The sequence below is a fragment of the Homo sapiens genome, chromosome 11 (genome assembly GCF_000001405.40).
Source record: "Homo sapiens chromosome 11, GRCh38.p14 Primary Assembly".
Taxonomy (NCBI): domain Eukaryota; kingdom Metazoa; phylum Chordata; class Mammalia; order Primates; family Hominidae; genus Homo; species Homo sapiens.
In genome coordinates, this window is record NC_000011.10 from 46,967,363 (window position 1) to 46,988,788 (window position 21,426).

The 21,426-nt window shown below is 36.9% G+C and overlaps 1 protein-coding gene across 7 annotated transcripts in view; it reads left to right on the forward strand.

Annotated features, from left to right (window-relative positions):
- Window positions 1-21,426, forward strand: part of CSTPP1 (centriolar satellite-associated tubulin polyglutamylase complex regulator 1) — a 227,697-nt gene that overhangs the window by 30,674 nt on the left and 175,597 nt on the right. For 6 of the 7 annotated variants that reach the window (NR_103471.2, NR_103472.2, NM_001003678.3 and 3 more), the window contains exon 2: window positions 19,846-19,948. The exons of the other annotated variant lie outside the window; for it this stretch is intronic. Coding sequence is in view for 4 of the 6 variants with exons in the window: in NM_001003678.3 (NP_001003678.1) it covers window positions 19,846-19,948 (103 nt within the window). In the remaining 2 variants the exon portion in view is untranslated. The remainder of the gene's footprint in view (window positions 1-19,845; window positions 19,949-21,426) is intronic. 7 annotated transcript variants of the gene reach the window in all.

A 21,426-nucleotide genomic window follows, 5' to 3' on the forward strand; every position in this document is an offset into this window, starting at 1 on the left:
GAATTGGCCATGTATGTGCATATTTCTAGATTCTTATATTCCATCATTGTATATATGTATCTTTATGCTAATATCACACTGTCTTAATGACTGTAGCTTTACCATAAATCTTAAAATCAGGTAGAGTAAGTCCTCCAACTTAGTTTTTCTTTTTCAAAGTTGTTTTCGCTATTTCATGTTTCTTCATAGCTATGTGATCTTGGGCAGGTTACTTGTCTTCTCTGTGCTTAGTTTCCAGATTTGTAAAATGAAGAATAATATTAGACTCTTAGGAGGATTAAATGAATAAAACTCTTACAACTGTGCCCGGCACATAGGAAGAACTCCATAAATATTAGCTAATCTTAGTAATTTTGGGTATATTTAATGAGGTAAATATTGGATTTATCCTTAATCCTGGCAAAAAATAATCTTAAAATAGGAAACTATATTATTATTTATAACTATATTATTATATATTATTATTAACTATATTATTATCGAGACAACATTTCAACAAATTTAGTTCAAATATCAAATTAACTTTTATTAATGATTCATGAACAGGGCAGTATCTCCTCTAAAAATTTAGAAAAGGGGCTCCGGTGAGCTGAGTGGAGGAGATTGGCTTTATAGGTAGGGAAGGGCGGAAGAAAGCAGAAACAAGAAACTGAAGCAGATTGGTTGTTTTGAAGTTACTTTCCTTGTAGGGTCAGAACAGAGGAGACTTCTTTTCATGCTGGCTGAAACTGGCCCATTTGGAGATTTGGCTGTTATCTCTCTTGACTTCTCAGAAGGTCAGATAACTGACTTAGTTTTAGTTTGGTGACCTGGAGCTTTAGCCTGAGTGACTCCATTTTGGTTTAGTCTACTGGGGCCTAGCGCAGGAACTCAGTTGAAATCAAAGGCCTTCTATAAATTTTATTTAACACTATTTTAAGATACAAGCAAAAATGTAAACATCCCTCAATACAATTCTAGCAAATGGCATAAATATATATATATTTAATTAATATATATAATATATAATTATATATAATATTTAATATATTTAAATAATATATTTAATATATTATTAAAATAAATATATATACATATATATGTTTATCCCAGAAATAGACCAGTCTTATCTATAATATTATTTATAAGAAAATGATAACTGGAATTACCCATAGGAGCACATTAGTAGACATTCAAAGCCTTTTGATAAAATTATCTAATTTTTTTTAGTATCTAATCTTGATCACCCCCCCGAACAATTAAAAATAGAGTGTTTCTGCTGGGCGCAGTGGCTCACAGCTGTAATCCCAGCACTTTGGGCGGCTGAGGCAGGTGGATCACGAGGTCAGGAGTTCGAGACCAGCCTGACCAACATGGTGACACCCCGTCTCTACTAAAAATACAAAAATTAGCCGGGTGTGATGGTGTGTGCCTGTAATCCCAGCTACTCAGGAGGCTGAGGCAGGAGAATCGCTTGAACCCGGGGGGCGGAGGTTGCAGTGAGCCGAGATCGTGCCACTGCATTCCAGCCTGGGCAACAGAGTGAGATTCTGTCTCAATAATAATAATAAAAAAAAGAGTGTTTCTAACTTTTGTTAATGTCTTCATTTACAACCAAGAGAAGCATTAGGGTTATATTTCTTGAAAAATAAGAAAAAGAAACACTGTTCTTAGGCCTCTAGAATCCTCTAGAACCACTGTTCGTTTTTATACTATTGGATATTCTTGTCTTACAGAAAGACCAGATCTGAACATTTTTTTTAAAAAGATGAATATAGGTCCCCATGACTCCCACGGCAACACTGAGTGGCCTTGTTCTACCTGGCTCACTTTGCTAATACAGTGGGGTTTTTTTTCTTTCTCTTCTGTCCTTATGTGTAAGGCAGAATACAAGGGCCTGAAGCCCCCGCCCCTCCTGCATTTGACAACAGGGTTGGACATTGTGTATTGAGTTTTTTTGTTTACATTGTTCTGATTAAAGTATGCAAAATAAAAAGATGCAGTTTTATATAACAGAAGATGGATATAGAAACATTATAAATGGTAAAAGCTTTTATAATTGTTTGCTGATGAGAATATGAAATGATATATTTTGGAAAATTGTTTGGCAGTATATAAAGCTGAACCTATGTATACCCTGTGACCCAGTTATTCACTTCTAGGCACAGAAACAAGGGAAGTGTGGACATATGTTTACCAAAAAACTCATACTAGAATGCTCGTAGTGGCACTATTCATAATAGGTCCAGATTATGGGAAACTGGAACTAAAGAAAACAAATGCCGTCAACAGTGGAACTGATAAATAAATTGTGGTATATTCAACAATGGACTGTTATTCTGTAATGAGATTGAACAATGGGATATTATGCTGCAATGAGAATTAATGAACAGTTACCCACAGCTATATGGATAAACCCCACAAACATAATGTTTTTTTTTGAGACAGGGTCTCACTCTGTCACCCAGGCTAGAGTGCAGTGGCATGATCTCAGCTGACTGCAACCTCCGCCTCCTGGGTTCAAGCGATTCTCATGCCTCAGCCTCCCAAGTAGCAGGGATTACAGGTGCACTTCACCACACCCGACTAATTTTTTTGTATTTTTAGTACAGACATGGTTTCGCCATGTTGGCCAGGATGCACAAACATAATGTTGAGTGAAAGAAGCCAGAGGCAAAAGACTGCATACTATAATAGACTATATAGATAGTTTATATATGTATACACACATACATATATAAAACAGGCACAATTTACCATTGAGGGGTTAGGGACTAGACAGTGGCTGTAGGATGTTTTCTAGGGTGCTGATTATAAGTATAAATTTACATTTTTCTGTATATTATTATATTTAAATAGAAAGTTGTAAAAAATGTTTGGTAGTAAATTTCTAACTTAAAACTAAGCAAATGATACACAATTGAGATCCCGGAAATAGATGCCAAAGAACAAATCTATTTAATCTGTGACAAACTAAGTGTAACAAAGTAAGCATGGCACATGTATACATATGTAACTAACCTGCACATTGTGCACATGTACCCTAAAACTTTATAATAATAATAAATAAATAAATAAATAAATAAATAAAATTCATTAATTGAGATAACTAGATTTCAATATGGCAAAAATAAATTTAGGTTCATGCCTCATACCATATGGTACATTGAATTGTAGTTTGAATTAAAATATTAATAAAATATTAATGTATTTTTTATAACTAAAGTATAATTATGGCTGAGATAATTTTACATATAAAAATTGATATAGATCTGTAAGGGCAGATTGATGCATAAATAGATGTTGGTTTTTAAAATTTGTGTACAACAAATAACACAGATAAAAGGAAAATGACAGAATAAGGACGATTATGATGAATATGATGAATAAAGCTTAATATGATATGTACAGAAAATAAATGACACAAATTTATGTTACAGTCCTGTCAAGCAGTCAAAGGAAATGATTTAAGAGTTTGTTCATGTGCAACATTCTTCATAAAGGTGAAAAATTAGAATCAATCCACATGCCCATCAATAAGGGAACAATTAATAAATTATGGTATTTCTATGATAGATACTACGATGTAGCCATTACAAAGAATTAGATTTGTTAATATGGAAAGATGTACATGAAGTATTAAGTGAAAAAATGAGTTGTAGAATAAAGTACATATGTATAGTGTCATTACACTTTTCTACAAAACAAGTTAATGCAACATTTGTCAACAAGTATATGGTCACATGTAGTGTAAGTTATGGAAGGTATAGATCAAACTGTTAGCAGTGAATACTCTGGGGAATTGGCATAAGAGGGCGCTTATCCTGTTTTTACTTCACACCCTCCTGTATTGTTCTGTTTCATTGATGTGTGCTTTTACAATTAAAAATTTTAAACTATATATAAAGGAGAAAGGTAAGTTAACTAAATATTCACATTTACCAATAAATAAACCACTGGAAATAAGATACTTTTGAGTTAGTTAAAACACAGAACTTTATATTGGGACATCTGCAAGGAAATTGGTCTCTTCCGTTTCTTGGATGTAATATAATCTGGTGTAATCTTTCTGGAAAGTAATCTGACAATACATAACAGGAGCCATAAAAATGAGCATATCTTTTGATCCTAGAGCCTTACTTCTGGGAATATACCCTAAGGAAGTAACTCAAAAGAGAAAAGAAATTTGCTTGTGCAAATATATTTATAGCCACATTATTTTAAGCAGAAAACTGAAAATAATCCAAAAAGAATTCTGTATTTAAGCAATATTTTAAAATGCAGTAATACATTGATCTTCTAATTTTTTTTTTTTAAGTATTGCTGGGTGCAGTGGCTCACGCCAGTAATCTCAACCCTTTGGGAGGCCAAGGCAGGAGGATCGCTTGAGCCTAGGAGTTTGAGACCACCCTGGGCAACACAGTGAGACCCTGTCTCTGCAAAAACTTTTTAAAAATTAGGCAGGTGTGGTGGTGTGGCACTTGTGGTCCTAGCTACTTGGGAGGCTGAGATAGGAGAATAGTGAGAGCCTGGGAGGTTGAGGCTGCAGTGAGCCGTGATTGTGCCACTGCACTTCAGCAAGCAACACAGCGAGACCTTGTCTCAAAAAGAAAAAAGCTAGGTGACCTAATAAGATTGCCATCAGCTTCATCCTTTTATAATGTCAAAAAAATGAAATTAAAAGTAAAGTTTCTTTTATCTTTTCCCTATAGTACCATTCAAATTCTTCTGCTCAGTTTAACATTTTTCTTCAACTTGGTCCCTCTAACAAGACTTTTTACTGGGTCATTTTGTTTTGGAAAGACAAAGTATGAATTTAGAGAAGTAGAAGAGAGTATAGTAATTTTTTCTCCTTATCTATTTATAGTAAACATTATAGAAGCAAAATATTTACTTACACTTAATCAGGTTTCCAAATTGTCCTGGAGAGTAGAATATCCTCCTCCATGATCTAGTGAGGAGGTTAAGTTGGAGGTTAAATACCTTGCATAATACCCCAAAGAGATAGGACAGGGATTAGAGACCAGGTCTTATATAATGAGACCCCCTTGCTAGGGTTGTTGAGCATTGGTGCCTGTCTGTGGGATGGCAGTGCAGGGCTGGGATCAATTCTCTGTTTAAGAGCAAGTCTGAAGGTCAGTTCTTTCCTTTTTGAGCTGGGCTATTTGAGCGGTACAGTGTACACTTTCTGAAGAGATTTCTGGAAGCAATTGCAGAAGTTTCTTATACAGGGTAGAATCTGACCTAAGCTGTCCAAAGAGAAATGGCCCTTAGAGAGAAGTTGTGCTTCCCCTTTGCTACCTCATATTTTATGTGCTGCCTCTCATTTGTTCCTTTTCCTCTCTAGTTCAAAATGCAGGATCTGAGAAGGAGACGGAGCTGTCATCAGTTCTAAACCTGAACAGAATGTTTCCTCAGTTAGTAAATGGAAAAATTATTTTAAAAAATCTTCATGTATGTTTGTGAAATACCAAGACATTGATTTGTGGTCTAGTTTGCAATCATGATAATTATATTAATTAGTACCAATCATGATCATTTTAAACTTTCTGAATTTCTCTATCCTAATTCTGTGATTCAGTGGAAAATATTTATACTCAAGAGATTAAGGTTCAATTTTCTGCCCTACCACTTAACAACTGTGTGACCTTGGGCAGTTTCTTCACTGGTAATATGGAGATAATAATCCCAGCCTTATCTGACTCCTAGGTTTGTTGTAAGGTTCAATGAGATAATGTATGTGAAAGTATTCGGTAAACTTTCAAGAGCAATACAAATGTTTTTGTTGAAGTTATGAAAGTCATTACCCTGTTTAAAACACAGTAAGCACTGAAGATGTCAGTACGTCTCTTAAGATTCTAAAATAGTGTCAAGAAATGTTCTATCCTATCCTAGCATGCGCTAACCTAGGTCTGTGAATAGGCCAAGGAGCCCTCTCCTTGGTTGATTGGTTGCTTGCCAGATATATTAGTTTGATCTCTTCATTTATACTTTCTGGAAAATATATGGATGCTTTATGTTAGGTTTGTCTGCATACAACAGAGAAACCTAAAATACCGTGGTTTAAACAAGATAGAAGATTATTTCTCTTTCATGGAAAACAAGTCTGAAAATAGGCAGTCCACAGCTGGTAGAGTATACTCCAGGGTTTCATCAGGACTCAAGCATATATTTTTCTGTGCCAACATCCTCACCATAGAATCCATTCTTTACCTCATGACCCATGAGGACTGAAGGAACTCCTTTTTATCCATTGGGATAAATAAAGGATATCTCAACTGAATCAGTCCCATTTAAGTACTTTCTAGAAAATCCACACAGTATTTTGCTTACATTTTATAACTGAGTCACATGACTAAAGACTAGCTACAAGAGAAGCTGAGAAATATAATCTTTATGCCAGTGACCATGAACCCAGGTATGTATACTGGAGGGTGTATGTGTGTGTGTGTGTGTGTCTGTGTGTGTCTGTGTGTCTGTGTGTGTTGAAGAGGGTAATTTATAACCAAAAACATTCATATTTTTATATAATGCTGTGGCAGAGACTTCAAGTTGCAAACTTCAATGGCTTCTTCTTCCTTAGAAACGTACTTGCAGTTTTGGCCAGTCATGGTGGCTCACACCTGTAATCCCAGTGCTTTGGGAAACTGAGGTGGGAAGATTGCTTGAGGCTGGAAGTTTGAGACTACCCTGGGCAACATAGCAAGACCCTGTCTCTACCAAAAAACAAAAACAAAAAATTAAACTGGGTTTGGTGGTGCACACCTGTAGTCCCAGCTACTCCAGGGGGCTGAGGCAGGAGGATTCCTTGAGCCCAGCTGTGGAGGTTGCGATGAGCTATGATTGCACCACACTGCACTCCACTGTGGGCAACAGAGCAAGACCTTGTCTCAAAAATGAAACAGGCCTGGCGCAGTGGCTCACGCCTGTAATCCCAGCACTTTGGAAGGCCGAGGCGGGCAGATCGCTTGAGGTCAAGAGTTCGAGACCAGCCTGTCCAAGATGGTGCAACCCCGTCTCTACTAAAAATACAAAAATTATCCAGGCGTGGTGCCAGGCGCCTGTAATCCCAGCTACTTGGGAGGCTGAGGCAGGAGAATCACTTGAATCTGGGAGCAGAGGTTGCAGTGAGCAGAGACCTTGCCATTGCACTCCAGCCTGGGCAAAAGAGCGAGACTCTGTCTCAAAAAAAAAAAAAAAAGAAAGAAAAAGAAACAGGCCAGGCATGGTGACTAACACCTGTAATCCCAGCACTTTGGGAGGCCGAGGTGGGTGGTTCACTTGAGATCAGGAGTTTGAGACCAGCCTGGCCAACATGGTGAAACCCCATCTATACCAAAAAACAAAACAAAACAAAACAAAAATTAGCTGGGTGTGGTGGTGTGCACCTGTAGTCCCAGCTACTTGGGAGGCTGAGGTGGGAGGCTCGCTTGAACCTGGGAGGTAGAGGTTGCAGTGAGCTGAGATCATGCCACTGCATTCCAGTCTGGGTGACAGAGTGAGACTCTATCTCAAAACACACACACACACACACACACACACACACACACACACACACACACAATACTCCAATTTTTACCTGGAGATTCGAGAAATTAGGGAAGAAACCAAAGAAAATATATTTCCTTATAAAATAAATATTAAAATAAAGAAAAAAAAGTCTGGGTGCAGTGGCTCACACCTGTAATCCCAGCACTTTGGGGAGGCTGAGGCAGGAGGATTGCTTGAGCCCAGGAGTTTGACACCAGCCATAGTGAGACCCTGTCTCTACAAAAAAATTTAAAAGTTAGCCAGGCATGGTGGTGCACACTTGTAATCCCAGCTGCTCAGGAGGCTGAGATAGGAGGATTGCTTGAACCTGGGAGGTCAAGGCTGCAGTGAGCCATGATCACACCACTGCACTCCAGCCTGGGCGACAGAGCATGACCCTCTCTCAAAAAAATTTTAAAAGTTAGAAAATATATTTCTATAGTGCAATAACAAAGTGATTTGTGCAGGGAAAACTAAAAATTCTGGAGACATTTTTTAAGCTCAGCAGTATTTGCATAAAGAAATATTTATAATGTGAAAACAAAGTACTTCATTTAATTTTGAAAGATGTATTAAGCAAAAAAGGAAAGAAAAATGAGAGGAAAAATGCTAGAAATACAGGGGGTACATTGGTTTAATTTGAACCCTCTTATGTATATGTATCTTTAGCTCCTTTTACTTTAGCTTTTCTCGTCTCTTTGGAAATGAAAATATTCAGTTGTTGCCATGATTTTGCTTGCTTTGTACAAATGAAATGTTGGCTTTATGGTTATAGACAGAAATATGGAAAACTTTAGAGCTACTTTGAGCAAGCCCAAGAACTTTGAATCATTGAATCAAGAGGAGAAAAAATGAAGAAAATATTTCAAGTTCTTTATCTGTAAAATGATGGAGATAAACAATATGATCTGAAAGTCTTTCAACTTCTTAAGTTTTTATAATTCAGGAGCAGTGGTAAGAATAGTAATGAAGTTTCTAACTACTACTTCCAAGTTAAGTACAATCCAGAGAGGCCAGTGGGACAGAATCTGTGGGACGATGTGGGAGGACTTAAGTGATTTTAAGTCCTGGTGAAGAGGAATAGTGTGTTCAATGGAAATTGAGGAAGACAAGGACTTTTCAGGTCAGGGGGCTTAATGGGTCATCATTGTGTTTGTTACAGAGTTTTAGGAGAGTGGTGGAGAAAAAGATGGAGAAAAAGAAAATGGACTATGTGCTCCTAGGAAGAGAGATGTGATTGTTTTCTAACATGTAGGCAATGAACCCTCAGAGGAACTATAGATGAGCATTAGGGTGTTCTTGAATGCTCTAAAATTATATGCAACATATTATATTCGTTTTTCTGTGAGAAAGCATTTGTAGCTTTAATCAGATTCTTATTGTAAGCTAACAAAGCCACTTGCTCTTAAAAATGAATAATAAAGACTTTAAATGATTAAAAACAGAAAAAGTGACACTTCAGTGGTCCTGCAGTGGGTGAATATAGTCATTGTGATATTTTCAGAGTAAGCTAGGTTTCAGTCACACACACACACACACACACACACACACAGTACACACACACACACAATGAGAGAAATGTATAGAATCGTGGGGAATTTGCTGTACAGTTTTGGGTTTTGGCTTGCTATTATTAGCTGCACCTTGGGCATGTTACAGAACCTCCCTAAGCTTCAATTTCCTCTGCTATAAAATAAGGATAAAAGTACCTTAAATGGTGGTTGTGAAAATTAGAGACAATGTAAGTTGAGTACATAGTACAGTGCTTGGCACAGAATAGGTATTTGGTAACCCTTTCCCCACATGAGTTTTTTAAGTTTCTGTATTTACTTTAAGGCCCTTATTGTATGCAGTCATCCATGAGTATATGCAGGGGGTTAGTTCCAGGGCTCTCTGAGTATACCAAAATCTGTGCATACTCAAGTCCTGCAGTTGGCCCTGTGGAACCCGAATCTACGAGAAGTTGACCCTCCCTATACGTGTGTTTTGCTTCCTGAGAATACTGAAGTTTCGACCTACATTTGGTTGGAAAAAACCCTCACTTTTAAGTGGACCCAAGCTATTGAAATCCGTATTGTTCAAGGGTCAATCGTATTTCACTTTGAAGGACTGGTCCTCAGCAAGTTCATCTTCTGAACTACTCAGTGATGCTCACACTCAAGAAGACCATATCTTATTAAGTGGTTAGTTTAGAAGCTCTTTCCCATGCAGATTTGCAAGCGGAGTGTGTAAAAATCACACATTGCACTTGTTGCCTGGCAGCACGTGTCCCTGAGTGGTAGTACATGGCTTGCATTGTAATGTTATCAGTGCTGGGGCCAGCTGGCTAGACATGTACTGCTACATGGGCTAGGGACTCCATTCCTCAACAAAACAGCAGCCAGCACTAGGGTTAACAGAAAATGACAAACCAGGAATGGATGAGGGAGGCGCCAGCACAGCAGCGGGATGTCTTTTGATTTGCTTCTGTTATTTGCATGTCTCTCTTGTGATGTCTGTGAAATGTTTAGAATGACAAAGTTTTTAAAAGACCTGCTGACTCCGCCTGAAAAATGTGAAAAACCTCCCATTTAGAGACCTATTATGTCCAGCTAGCCTGCATTTTCTATATCTTTTTCTTTATTTTTTATTAATGCAAACATTTGCATGAAGACAGAACCTTTGTTTCTTAAAGAGTTCATCTGCTCCTGCTGCTTACTGGCCCTGCCATGCAAGAGCACAACAGAACCTTTGTTAGGCTTTCAGCAAAGCTGTTTATGAACGGTGGCTTACTGAGGACTGCTTCCTGTGCTGTGTGCTTCCATTTTGTCTAAAAAGAAAAAAAGAAAATAGTTATTAGGAGTAAAAAGAATTTGGACTTTCTTTTATTCAAGTCCTGGATGTTGAAATGACAAGTAGCCCCCAAATTTGTGAGGAACTGGTAATTGCATCGAATGCATTTTTTCGCTTTACCTTGAACATAATGAGGCTCTTAGTAACAATAGAAGGAACAAGTGCCTTCTCATTGGAATAGAGAGAAGGAACAGTAGTAAAAAGGCAACAGAAAGAGTAGTTGAGAACAGGACAAAAGTGGCTTCCAGTAAGAACACTAACATTGTAATAGAATGTGTTTTGATATTTAGCGTTTCCCACCTGGGAGGCACAGTCCTAAAGTGGTTGAGTTGAATAAAGAACAGCATCACAGTTTATAAATAGTGGATACAGTTTGTATGTTCATTAAGTAAATATTTGAATGTCTACCATGTGAAAGACACTGAATGGTCCTGAGTGTTAAAGGAAATAAAAGATAAATGAGTCATGGTGCCTATCTTTAAGGATCAGGACATCCAACAAAGAAGATAACATACGCATAACAGAAATAACTGTGTATCAAGGTAGAAAGTGCCACTGGAAATATTTAAAATAGATGTTTAGGGAGTTTGGGAAAAGGGAAGATCACTTCTGGCTGGGACAGAATCAGGGAAAGGTTCACAAAGAAGGTGGCATTTGAGTTGGGCCTGGCAGAAAAGGTAGGACTGAACATTGCAACATTCCTAAAAGTGATGAGTCAAAAATTATGTTGTTCTAGTAAAACAGATCCAAAGTATGTTTTTATAGGGTACTTTGGTGGTGTTTTTATACCATTAATTTAGATGATATGTTAAGTGTTATGAGTTTTCTGTGTAGACTAAACTGGGGCCTCTCTGTCTAGTCTATGTTGTTCCAACCATTTGCCCCATACGGTTTTTGTGCACTTTGGCCTAGGCCTTTTTGTATCTATAAATATCTACAATAGCATCCTTTACTTTCATAACAAAAATAGAAACTCAAAGGGATTATTGAGCACTATTACAGCTATATCCCATAAACAGTATGTGGAGATAGTTCTTAGTGGGGATTTCACATGTGAGACTCTTATTTGAAAAAGAATCCCCACCTTCGTGCAGAGCCACATCAACCACAAGAGAGAGGACAGGGAATTCTAAGCCCGTGAGTTTTCAGTTACTTTAAATTAGAACTTTTCTGTATCTTTTTGTCATTAGAAAAAATGAGATCCTGTTACTGTTAGTTCAGTTGTGAATGCCAACTAATTTTTATGTAATATTTTTAATGTAAAATGCCAAGCAAATGATTAAGCTGTTGTATTAGTATCTTATTGCATTAATATCACTATTCTGTATATTCATAGTTAAATTGCATATTACCAATTAATATTAATCTGTAAATTTAATGATAATTGATAAATACATGGTTTGCCCCCAAAGGCTATACTTTTTCTTTTTTTTAAAGAGACAGGAGTCCTACTATGTTGGTCTTGAACTCCTGGGCTCAAGGGATCATCCTGCCTCAGCCTCCTGAGTAACTGGGACCATAGGCATGCATCACCATGCCCGGCTGCAAGACTACAACTCGTGCTATAGCACAATTAATTTTCACCTTGTAATTTTATTACTTCCCTGTTTGAAAACATGAGTGGCATATGATTTACTACATGTTTAGCAATTTACAGGATTTTTTTTTTACCCATGATACTTTCTGGAAAATAGTTATGTGAATGTTTATGGCGTTGACTTGATAACTATACTGCTTTATTAGTAACTATTTTTGCAAAGTTATTGCCATGACAAATATTACTTGGGTTCTTCATATGTCCCTTAGATTGTAACTGTGGGAAACTTAAGTGCTACTTTAGATTTCTCTGGTGTTCAGGAAGTACATTTTGTTATGGTCAGCTAGCTGAGTGCTTTAAGTTTGAACTATGAAAATCTCCTTAAAAAAAAAAAGGACGCGGTGGCTTATGCCTGTAATCGCAGCACTTTGGGAGGCCAAGGCAGGCGGATCACCTGAGGTCAAGAGTTTGAGACCAGCCTGGCCAACATGGTGAAACCCTGTCTCTACTAAAAGTACAAAAATTAGCTGAGCATGGTGGCGGGCGCCTGTAATCCCACCTACTCAGGAGGCTGAGGCAGGAGAATCGCTTGAACCCTGGAGGTGGAGGTTGCAGTGAGCCGCGATCACGCCACTACACTCCAGCCTGGGTGACAACAGCGAGACTCTGACTTAAAATAAAAAAGATTCTGTAGTTTCTGGCACTTGAAATTGCAGGACTCCAACCTACAAATGCTGTATTATTATGAGATTTAGGCTGGAAATACTGAGGCAGTAGGATTTAAGCACTTACCCTTAATTGACATCCCAAAACTATATATAAAACAAACAAACAAACAAAAAAACAAAAAAACCCACCAGTTTTAGGAAAGAGAAGGGAAGAGGGGAGGATTAATGGTTGACCAGAGACTGTTTTGAGTGTCAAGGCACTCAGCTTTTCACAGCTATTAACCAGTACAATACCCCTTTTGGTTGAGGGAAATAGACTTTAGTTTTTCATCCTCTACTTAACATAAAGATCTTTAGACACCTCTTGTTTTCTGGTTGTCACAGGTGATGTTAGCATATGTGTAATGCTTTGTTTGCCTCTGGCGTGTCTTTTAGTATTTGAGTTTGACTAGCCGTATAGCAGGACTTTAGTGGTTTGGATGCATAGATGCAATGTATTGCTTTTGTCTGTTTTATAATTAACAATTATAAAATAAAAGGTCATTCCTTAATTTGCAAATTTGTTCTCAGAAAGTTCTGTTTGATACATGTCATACTGCATGGCTCTTTAAAGGTGGCAGTATCATGCAGTACAGACTGGAATATAGGATAATAGGCTTATACACTTGGAGTAGAGAAGGCCTTTTTGAATAGGACACAAAGCACACCAAAAAAAAGCCACAGATACATTATTTTGACTGTATCAACACTTAAAACTTCTGTAAAATGAAAGATACCACAGACAAGTTAAAAGAAGACCATGAAGTAGATGTATGTATTTGTGACATGTATAGAATTATCTACAAGTCAAGAAGAAGAAAAAAAGACAACCAGAGAAGAAAATTGGCAAAGGATAAGAAATACAAATAAACATGAAAATGTGCTTAACTTTATTTGTAATCAAGAAAAGTAAAATTAAAACAACAGAGAAAAGCTATTTTCTAACTATTAAATCGGCAAAATTAAAAAGCATTAGGCCAAGGATAGTGAAAATAGATACTCATACAGCTGGTGGTGTGTAAATTGGAATAACTAATTTGTAAAAGCAATTGTCTATCTCTGGTAAACATGAAGATATCCTGTGCATCCTATGAAATGCCAATTCCATCTTGAGGAATCTACCTTAGAAAAACTCTTGCACATATATACAAGGAAACACGTACAAGAATGTTCAACACAGCCCAGTTTATTATAGTGAAAACATGGAAACAACCTAAATGTTTATCAGTAGGGAAATATTTACCATTGGGAACTATCAAAAAGGTAAGTAGGTTCCATATTGTTTTATAAAAGATCTCCAGACATTGTTGATTAAAAAAAAAAAAGATGCAGAAAGGATATATCAGACACTTAAAAACAACTTAAAACATGAAAACAGAACAAGCTCACAAACTATATTTCTGTATTTTTGAAAATATGTACCCCAAACTGATAATAGTTGTTATCTATGGGAACTGGAATTAGTCTTTAGCTTTATCTGTATTGTTTGAACCTTTAAAAATTATTGTGTGTTTAACTAGAAATAAACATTTTTAAAAATTTAAAGATCATACCAGTACTTTGATTTACCAATTTAAGCTTCTTAATACTATAAAGTATTAACAGGGAAGAGCCAGCAATTTCTAGATAATACAACGTAAGATGGGGCACTTTGTAGGTTTTTGGATTTTTCTTGTTTTGCTTTCATTTTTGGTTTTGAGAGGTAGTGGGGTGAATGGAAGAATACGGGCTTTGGAGTCAAATCTAAGTTTGAATCCAAGCTCTGCCATTTATTTAGACTTTGGGCAGGTTTCTTAACCTCTCTAGTTTTTAAAAAAATTGCTATTACCTACTTCGTTGGGTTGTATAAGAATTACATGTGCTAGATTTCCTCATTTCCCCATTCCCTTTGGTTAAGGGAAATTGGTCTAGTGTGGTCTAAGATCAAAGATGGTCTCGTATGGATGACAAAATGTTTCACAAGAACACACTATATCCTTGGACCAGGATATACCAGTAAAGATGGAGGATGTAAATAATAAATTTTAGAGGTCTATTAACTGTTTAAACCATTAAGCTATCTATTTGTACCTCACAAGATCAAATACTAGATTATGTTAGTGATTTATAAATGATATTGAACTTGAAACTTCTAAGCAGTTTACATGACAGGTTGTTGATTAACAGGTTTACTTTTTTTTTTAAATCTCAGAGAACATTTTAATTTAGTTCAGCAAACATTTATTTGTGCCATCCAGCATCTCAATCTCAAGAGGCCTCATAGACCAAAATATGTCTCAAAAGGAAGAAAGGAAAACTCTATGTATTTATCAATTTATTTATCAAACTCTGGCAAGGGGGGAAAAAGTCAGGTTTAAAGTTGAGTATATGTATATACTCTGCTTTTCACTTGTACTGCTATTGCCTATGTGTGCATCTGTTAATATCATATATAGCAATTCATATGAAGATTTTTTCCAGTGAGACTTAGTTATTCTATTATTGGGACTCTGTATTAAATAATAATTTTTAAAAAAGAGTGCTCTAACTAATGTTAAGGTGGAAATTCTAGACCCCTCAAACAAAAATTTCCAAATAGGACCCCTTATCATTTAATTGTGAAATAAACAACTAATGCTTTTATGGTATTTATGCTTGGGAAGAGAATAAAATAAATAGTTTTGGATTTTCCCCATATAAATTAGGGCCTGCTGAGTAATTAGCAGTTAATAAGTGAATGCTTCCTACAAGTTTAAAGGTCATACCTGAAATGGGTATATGATGATGTATATTTTTATAGTTATAGATTTTATATAGCCCAAGAATCCTTGAAGATAGTCTAAACATCTTGGTTTGATGAGCAGAACTTTCAATAAGGGGGTAAGGGGCTAATATTGTTTGAGCACTTACTATGTGCCAAGCACTATTCTAAGATGATTACATAGATTATTTTATTTAATCTTCACCACAGTCTTCTGTGGTAGGTACTAGTATTGCCCAATTTTATAGAAAAGGGCAGAGAGATAAGGTAACTTATATGAAGTTACACAGTCAGTAAATGACAGAGCTAGAAATCATATCCAGGTTCAGTTGGCTCAAGAACCCATATTCTTAACCATTGCAGTAAAAATTGTTATGCTGTTTTAATCTGTAGAGTCAGCATGTAGCAATAATAATATAATCATTAACATGTTACATTTTGCATATATTGAATGCTTTCTAAAGAAGTAGTTTATTATCAGACATATTCTTAGAATCATACCCATTTTATAGCAGGATTGACAGTGTTATAAAGAGATTACGTGATCAACATGGGGTGAGTCAACAGAACCAAGAAGTTTCTGATCCACAATTGCCTTCACTTGCTAGGTTCAAGTAAGGATCATATAGTGTTTACTTACATTTGCCTTAGATTTTTCAGTATAGCATGATGAAATTCTAAATGCTTATCTCAGACAGTGATGCTATCTGAGCAAGACATGGACAATTGGGCATTAGTGTGAATTTTAGGACACTAGAGCGTAGGTACAGGTTAGAAAACTTAATCCTCATCTTGTGGAAGTCATGGCAAAGCCAAAGAGGAAAAGCCTGTCTTAAATGCTTTTCCTTTTCCAAGGGGCAGCTAAGGTGCCCAGATATCTTTGCCCTCCAGGGATGCAGGTGTGCTGTTTTTTATTCTTTAATCATTCACATAAATTAAAGCCTATTCCTTTGCATTAAAAAAAATGTAAAATGACACTCTCCGTGTTTTATTGCCAGGCAAGAGCTTTGAACTTCTGTCTCATTGAAGTTTGATAAACTAAGGATTTTCCCGTGTTGGGTGGTACCCTTAACCACAGAGGGAGCATTAGACTGATAAGAGCTGCAGGTGAAGGAAACCACCAGGGCACGGCAATTAGGGAGAGCTTCGCACTTGGCTGTTGGCTGGTGTAAAACTCTCTGCAGGGAGGAACTTTTCTTCTTAGCTTCTTCCCTTCACCCACACGTAAAAAGAACACCAGGGCTTTCTATTTCTACTTTGCGAACTAGGAATGGATGGGATGGTTCTTTTCAAGAAACTTTCAAATTTAGGGACAAGTTCTAACTTCACACAAATGCTGATTGGTATGAAGGTGGGGGGACAGGACAGACAGACATACACACACATAAATTCACGTGGACCCAAATGGACCATATCTCTCAGGTGATTTTACTATCAACATACATTCCTGCCTTTGTGCACTGTGTAAAATAAAGATAATTTTTACTTCCATAACTGATTATAAAGTGTTAATGGTGAGGCAACGTGTTAAGAGAATGGGTTCTTGTATCAGGTAAACCTTGGTTCAAATCTTGGCTTCTCTTCCCACTAGCTGTGTAAATTAATTTTGTAAGTCTCAGTTCTCCCACTTGTAAAAATAGAAGTCTAAGAATAACTATTATAGGATTGTATTTGGAAGAAATAGAATAAAGCATGTGAAACAATTAGTACAGTACTATATCTGTCACATTGTTGTTTAATAAATTGTGCAAGTACTCAAAAATGGTAGCTGTTATTATTTGTAATATGAAACTAAATATCTGATTGGTAGATTAATGTTAAACATGCATGGTCCAATATATTTCTTTCTTTCCTTTTTTATATTTTTGGTATAAAGTCTATTTTCTTGAAAATTCCTGCTTTTTTTTTCTAGAAGGACAAAAGTACTTTGATTTTTACTGCTCTGAAAATATTTATCCCGTAAAAAGCTTTCACATTAACTTTGAGTCCCTGGAGCTAGGGAGGAGAAGCAGCAGGATTTGCTACTAAGTAGAGCTCTTTCATTTCTACCATCAAAAAGAAAAAAAAAAAAAATCCTGTGCTAGCCTTAGGTAGAGCTAAGTCATAAAAGGCCATATAGCCTAAGGAAGGACTCTTTTTATAAGATCAGGATAAACCGATAGAAGAAAGGAAGGAGAACACAGAGGTGAAAATGCAGCTGATTTTAATGTTTCCCTGGCCATTTTCCCTCCCAATTTAATATACACCTAATTATAATTATTATATTTTGAAAACAATACCAGAAATTGGCAGGTATTATCTCACAGCTTCACTCTTAGTTTTGGCCGTTTCTTAAAGAAACAGTTTTCTAGTTGGATGAACTGTTGAGTTGAGGCACTGATTTTGTTTTCACCTCTTTTTGGGTGGGGTTGGGGGTGGGCAGTCAGGGTTTGCAGTGGTTTATAGTTGTTAGTTTTGGGAAGCACTCATTTAGATAGAATGAGTCACAGAATGTAAACAGGTCATCCATCTGGACTTTAGGCTGCTGGGAACGTGGTGAAACCTTAGGTCACCGCGATCATTATGGTCAAATGAAGACTTTTGGGCTCAGGTTGGCAGGTAAACTTACTTGTTTTATGAGCTTCACTAGACTACCAGGACTTCAGAAATAGTTTTTTGAAATACCAATATTTATAAATTTTAGGTAATTCCATCATATTTTCCTGAGGAATGAAACTGTGAAAGAAGTAAATGTCTACTTTGGCAGCAACTTCATAGAATTGCTTTTTGGAAGGATATTCATCACTTTGGGGTTTTTTGTTCTCACTGCTCCAGATGAAAGTATTTTTCTGAATTTTTTATGGTAAATGTGGACACTGAATTGGAAGCTTCTATGTAAAGTTTGTCAGGAAACCTCTGTCATACCTAAGGATAAAATTCAGAGAAAGGGAAGAAGTATTTGAGTACCTGACATCTAAGAAGTTCTGGCCTATGTTGTTTACTGAGTAAACTCCCAATAATGCTTTGAGACAGGCTTTTAAGGAAACATGTTATCAATCACGTACTATGTACCAAACACATAGTGGTGTTTTACCTGTATTATCTTATTTATTTCTCATAACCCTATAATGTAAGTACCATTATTATCCCCATTTTACCATGAAGAATAGGCTTGAAGAATAATTTGTTTATGGTCACATAACTAGGAAGTGGCAGAGCTGAGAATGGAGCTCTCAACTCTCTGTAATCCAAAGCCCAGGTTCTTAACCAGTGATTCTTAAACTTAAGAGTACATAAGAAGCATCAGGAGTACTTGTTAAAAATTACTGGGCTGTAGTAAAAAATGTAAGGTCACTAAATCTGGGACAGTGCCAGACTATAAATCTGCGTTTTAAACGGCATCCCAGGGGATTCAGATCAAGAAATTGATTGACCATATTTTGAGAAACATAGTTAAATTATATTGCTTTTCACACTTGATAAAGAAGAAAACAGGTGTAGACTAAGTAACTATCCAAGATTAAGCTACCAAGACAGAGCCATGATTCAAACTCAGGTCTGTCTCACTCTAATACTCATACTTTTTATTATACGCCCATGATTAACTCACACATTTCCAAGTCACAACAAATGCAGAAAACATGACATCTAATAAACCAAGCCAGATAGATTTCATGGTCTTGTTATTTACCAAAGTTAATAACTTATATATACACCAGTACGAAAATTTTCATGGTCCTTAAACCTTTCCAGTGACTTTTTTTTTTTTTTTCTAATTTAAATTAACTGAGTTTTCTTTTTTTTCTGTTCTGAAATGAAGTCTGGCTCTGTCGCCCAGGCTGGAGTGCAATGGCATGATCTTGGCTCACTGCAACCTCCACCTCCCAGGTTCAAGCAATTCCCCTGCCGCAGCTTCCTGAGTAGCTGGGATTACTAGCTACTCAGGAAGTAGCCACTGCATCTGGCTAATTTTTGTATTATTGGTAGAGACAGGTTTTCACCATGTTGCCAAGCTGGTCTCGAACTCCTGACCTCAAGTGATCCACCCGCCTCAGCCTCCCAAAATGCTGGGATTACAGGCCTGAGCCACTGTGCCTGGCCAGAGTTTTCTTTACAATCATACCATCCATGCTTCAAGCATGGAATTACTAACTCCCTGGGATAAGTTTCTGATGCAGAAATGGAAAAGAATAGAAGGAGGTAGAAAGAAAAGAACTTCCAGGTGTATCTGCTGAATGGTGCTAAATCTCCTCTTCAACCCACCCTTGTGATTGAGATGAAGAATGAAGGGTTGATGCTAATACTAACAGCCAGTCAAATGGCAATTGGTCATGTTCACATCATCTCCCAATCTATCCTTTGAGACTATAGCTCAGTTAGGGTCAGCAAGTTTGCTTTGCCTATTCCAGTCCACTGATGAAGTGTCATCAGACAGAGCCAACACCTGGATTGCCTTACACATGACCTCCTACTAGGATTGGGATCATTCTTTTTAAAATCTTTCTCTCATTTTCTCTTTCTCTCTTGCTATTTGATTGCAGCTCAGCGACATGTCCTCACCTACATGGAGGATGCAGTGTGCCAGCTGCTAGAAAACAGGGAAGATATTAGCCAATATGGAATTGCCAGGTTCTTCACTGAATAGTAAGTACATGAATGTTGTACTAATACAGTGAACCCAGAGGAGGCGCTTGGAAGCAGGCAGGATACTTGAGGAACAGAGCAGGACAATGCTGATTAGGTAGTGGCAGTGAATGTTTAGTTTTGGTAGGTTGGTTGTGGGCCGCCCAAACATGTTTTGGAGCATGCCTTTGGTGCAGCTAGTTTGTCCAGTGATGTCTCATGAATAGTTTTGATTACAGTAGCTTAACAACTGCTTGTTTGATCTATTAGATCTATTTCTGTAGGTTTCTCTTTTAACTTTCTCCTTTATTCAAAATATTCACTTTGATTTCCTTTCGCTGATGTTCATCTAGCCTGTTTTTTTTCATGGCTGGCTTTTCTCATGGAATCTAGGCTAATGTTCCTCTGCAGTTTTCTTTCTACAGGATGCTGTGCCAATCACTTAATGATTTAAGTGTATTTCTAATCAGCAAAGTGAAGAGACAACCCACAGAATGGGAGAAAGTATTTGCAAACTACCCATCTGACAAGGGATTAATAACCAGAATATATAAGGAGCTCAAATATCTCTATAGGAAAACATCCAATAATCCCATCAAAAAATGGACAAAAGATGTGCATAGACACTTCTCAAAACAAGACATACAAATGGCAAACAGGCATAAGCAAAGGTGCTCAACATCATTGATCATCAGAGAAATGCAAATCAAAACTACAATGAGATAACATCTCACCCCAGTTACAATGGCTTGTATCCTAAAGACAGGCAATAACAAATGCTGGCGAGGATGTGGAGAAAGGGAACCCTTCTACACTGTTGATGGGGATGTAAATTAGTATAACCACTGTGGAGAACAGTTTGGAGGTTCCTCAAAAAACTAGGAATAGGGCTGCCATATGATCCAGCAATTCAACTGCTGGGTATATACCCAAAAGAAAGGAAATTAGTGTATCGAATAAATATCAGTACTCCTATGTTTGTTACAGCACTGTTTAGAGTACTAAGATTTGGAAGCAATCTAAGTGTCCATCAACAGATGAATGGGTAAAGAAAATGTGGTACATATACACAATGGAGTATTATTTGGCCCTAAGAAAGAATGAGATCCTGTCATTTGCAACAACATGAATGGAACTGAAGATCATTATGTTAAGTGAAATAAGCCAGGCACAGAAAGACAAACATTGGATGTTCTCACTTGTTTGTGGGATGTAAAAATCAAAACAATTAAACTCATGGACAAAGAGAATAGAAGGATGGTTACCAGAGATTGGGAAGGGTAGCAGGGGGCTGGGGGAAGAGGTGGGGATGGTTGATGGTTACAAAAAAGAAAAAAAAGAATGAAAAAGACCTGCTATTTGATAGCACAACAGGGTGACTCTAGTCAATGATAACTTAATTGTTCATTTTAAAATAACTCAAAGGGTACATTTAGATTGTTTGTAACACAAAGGAAAAATGCTTGATGGGGTGGATACCCTATTCTCCATGATATGAT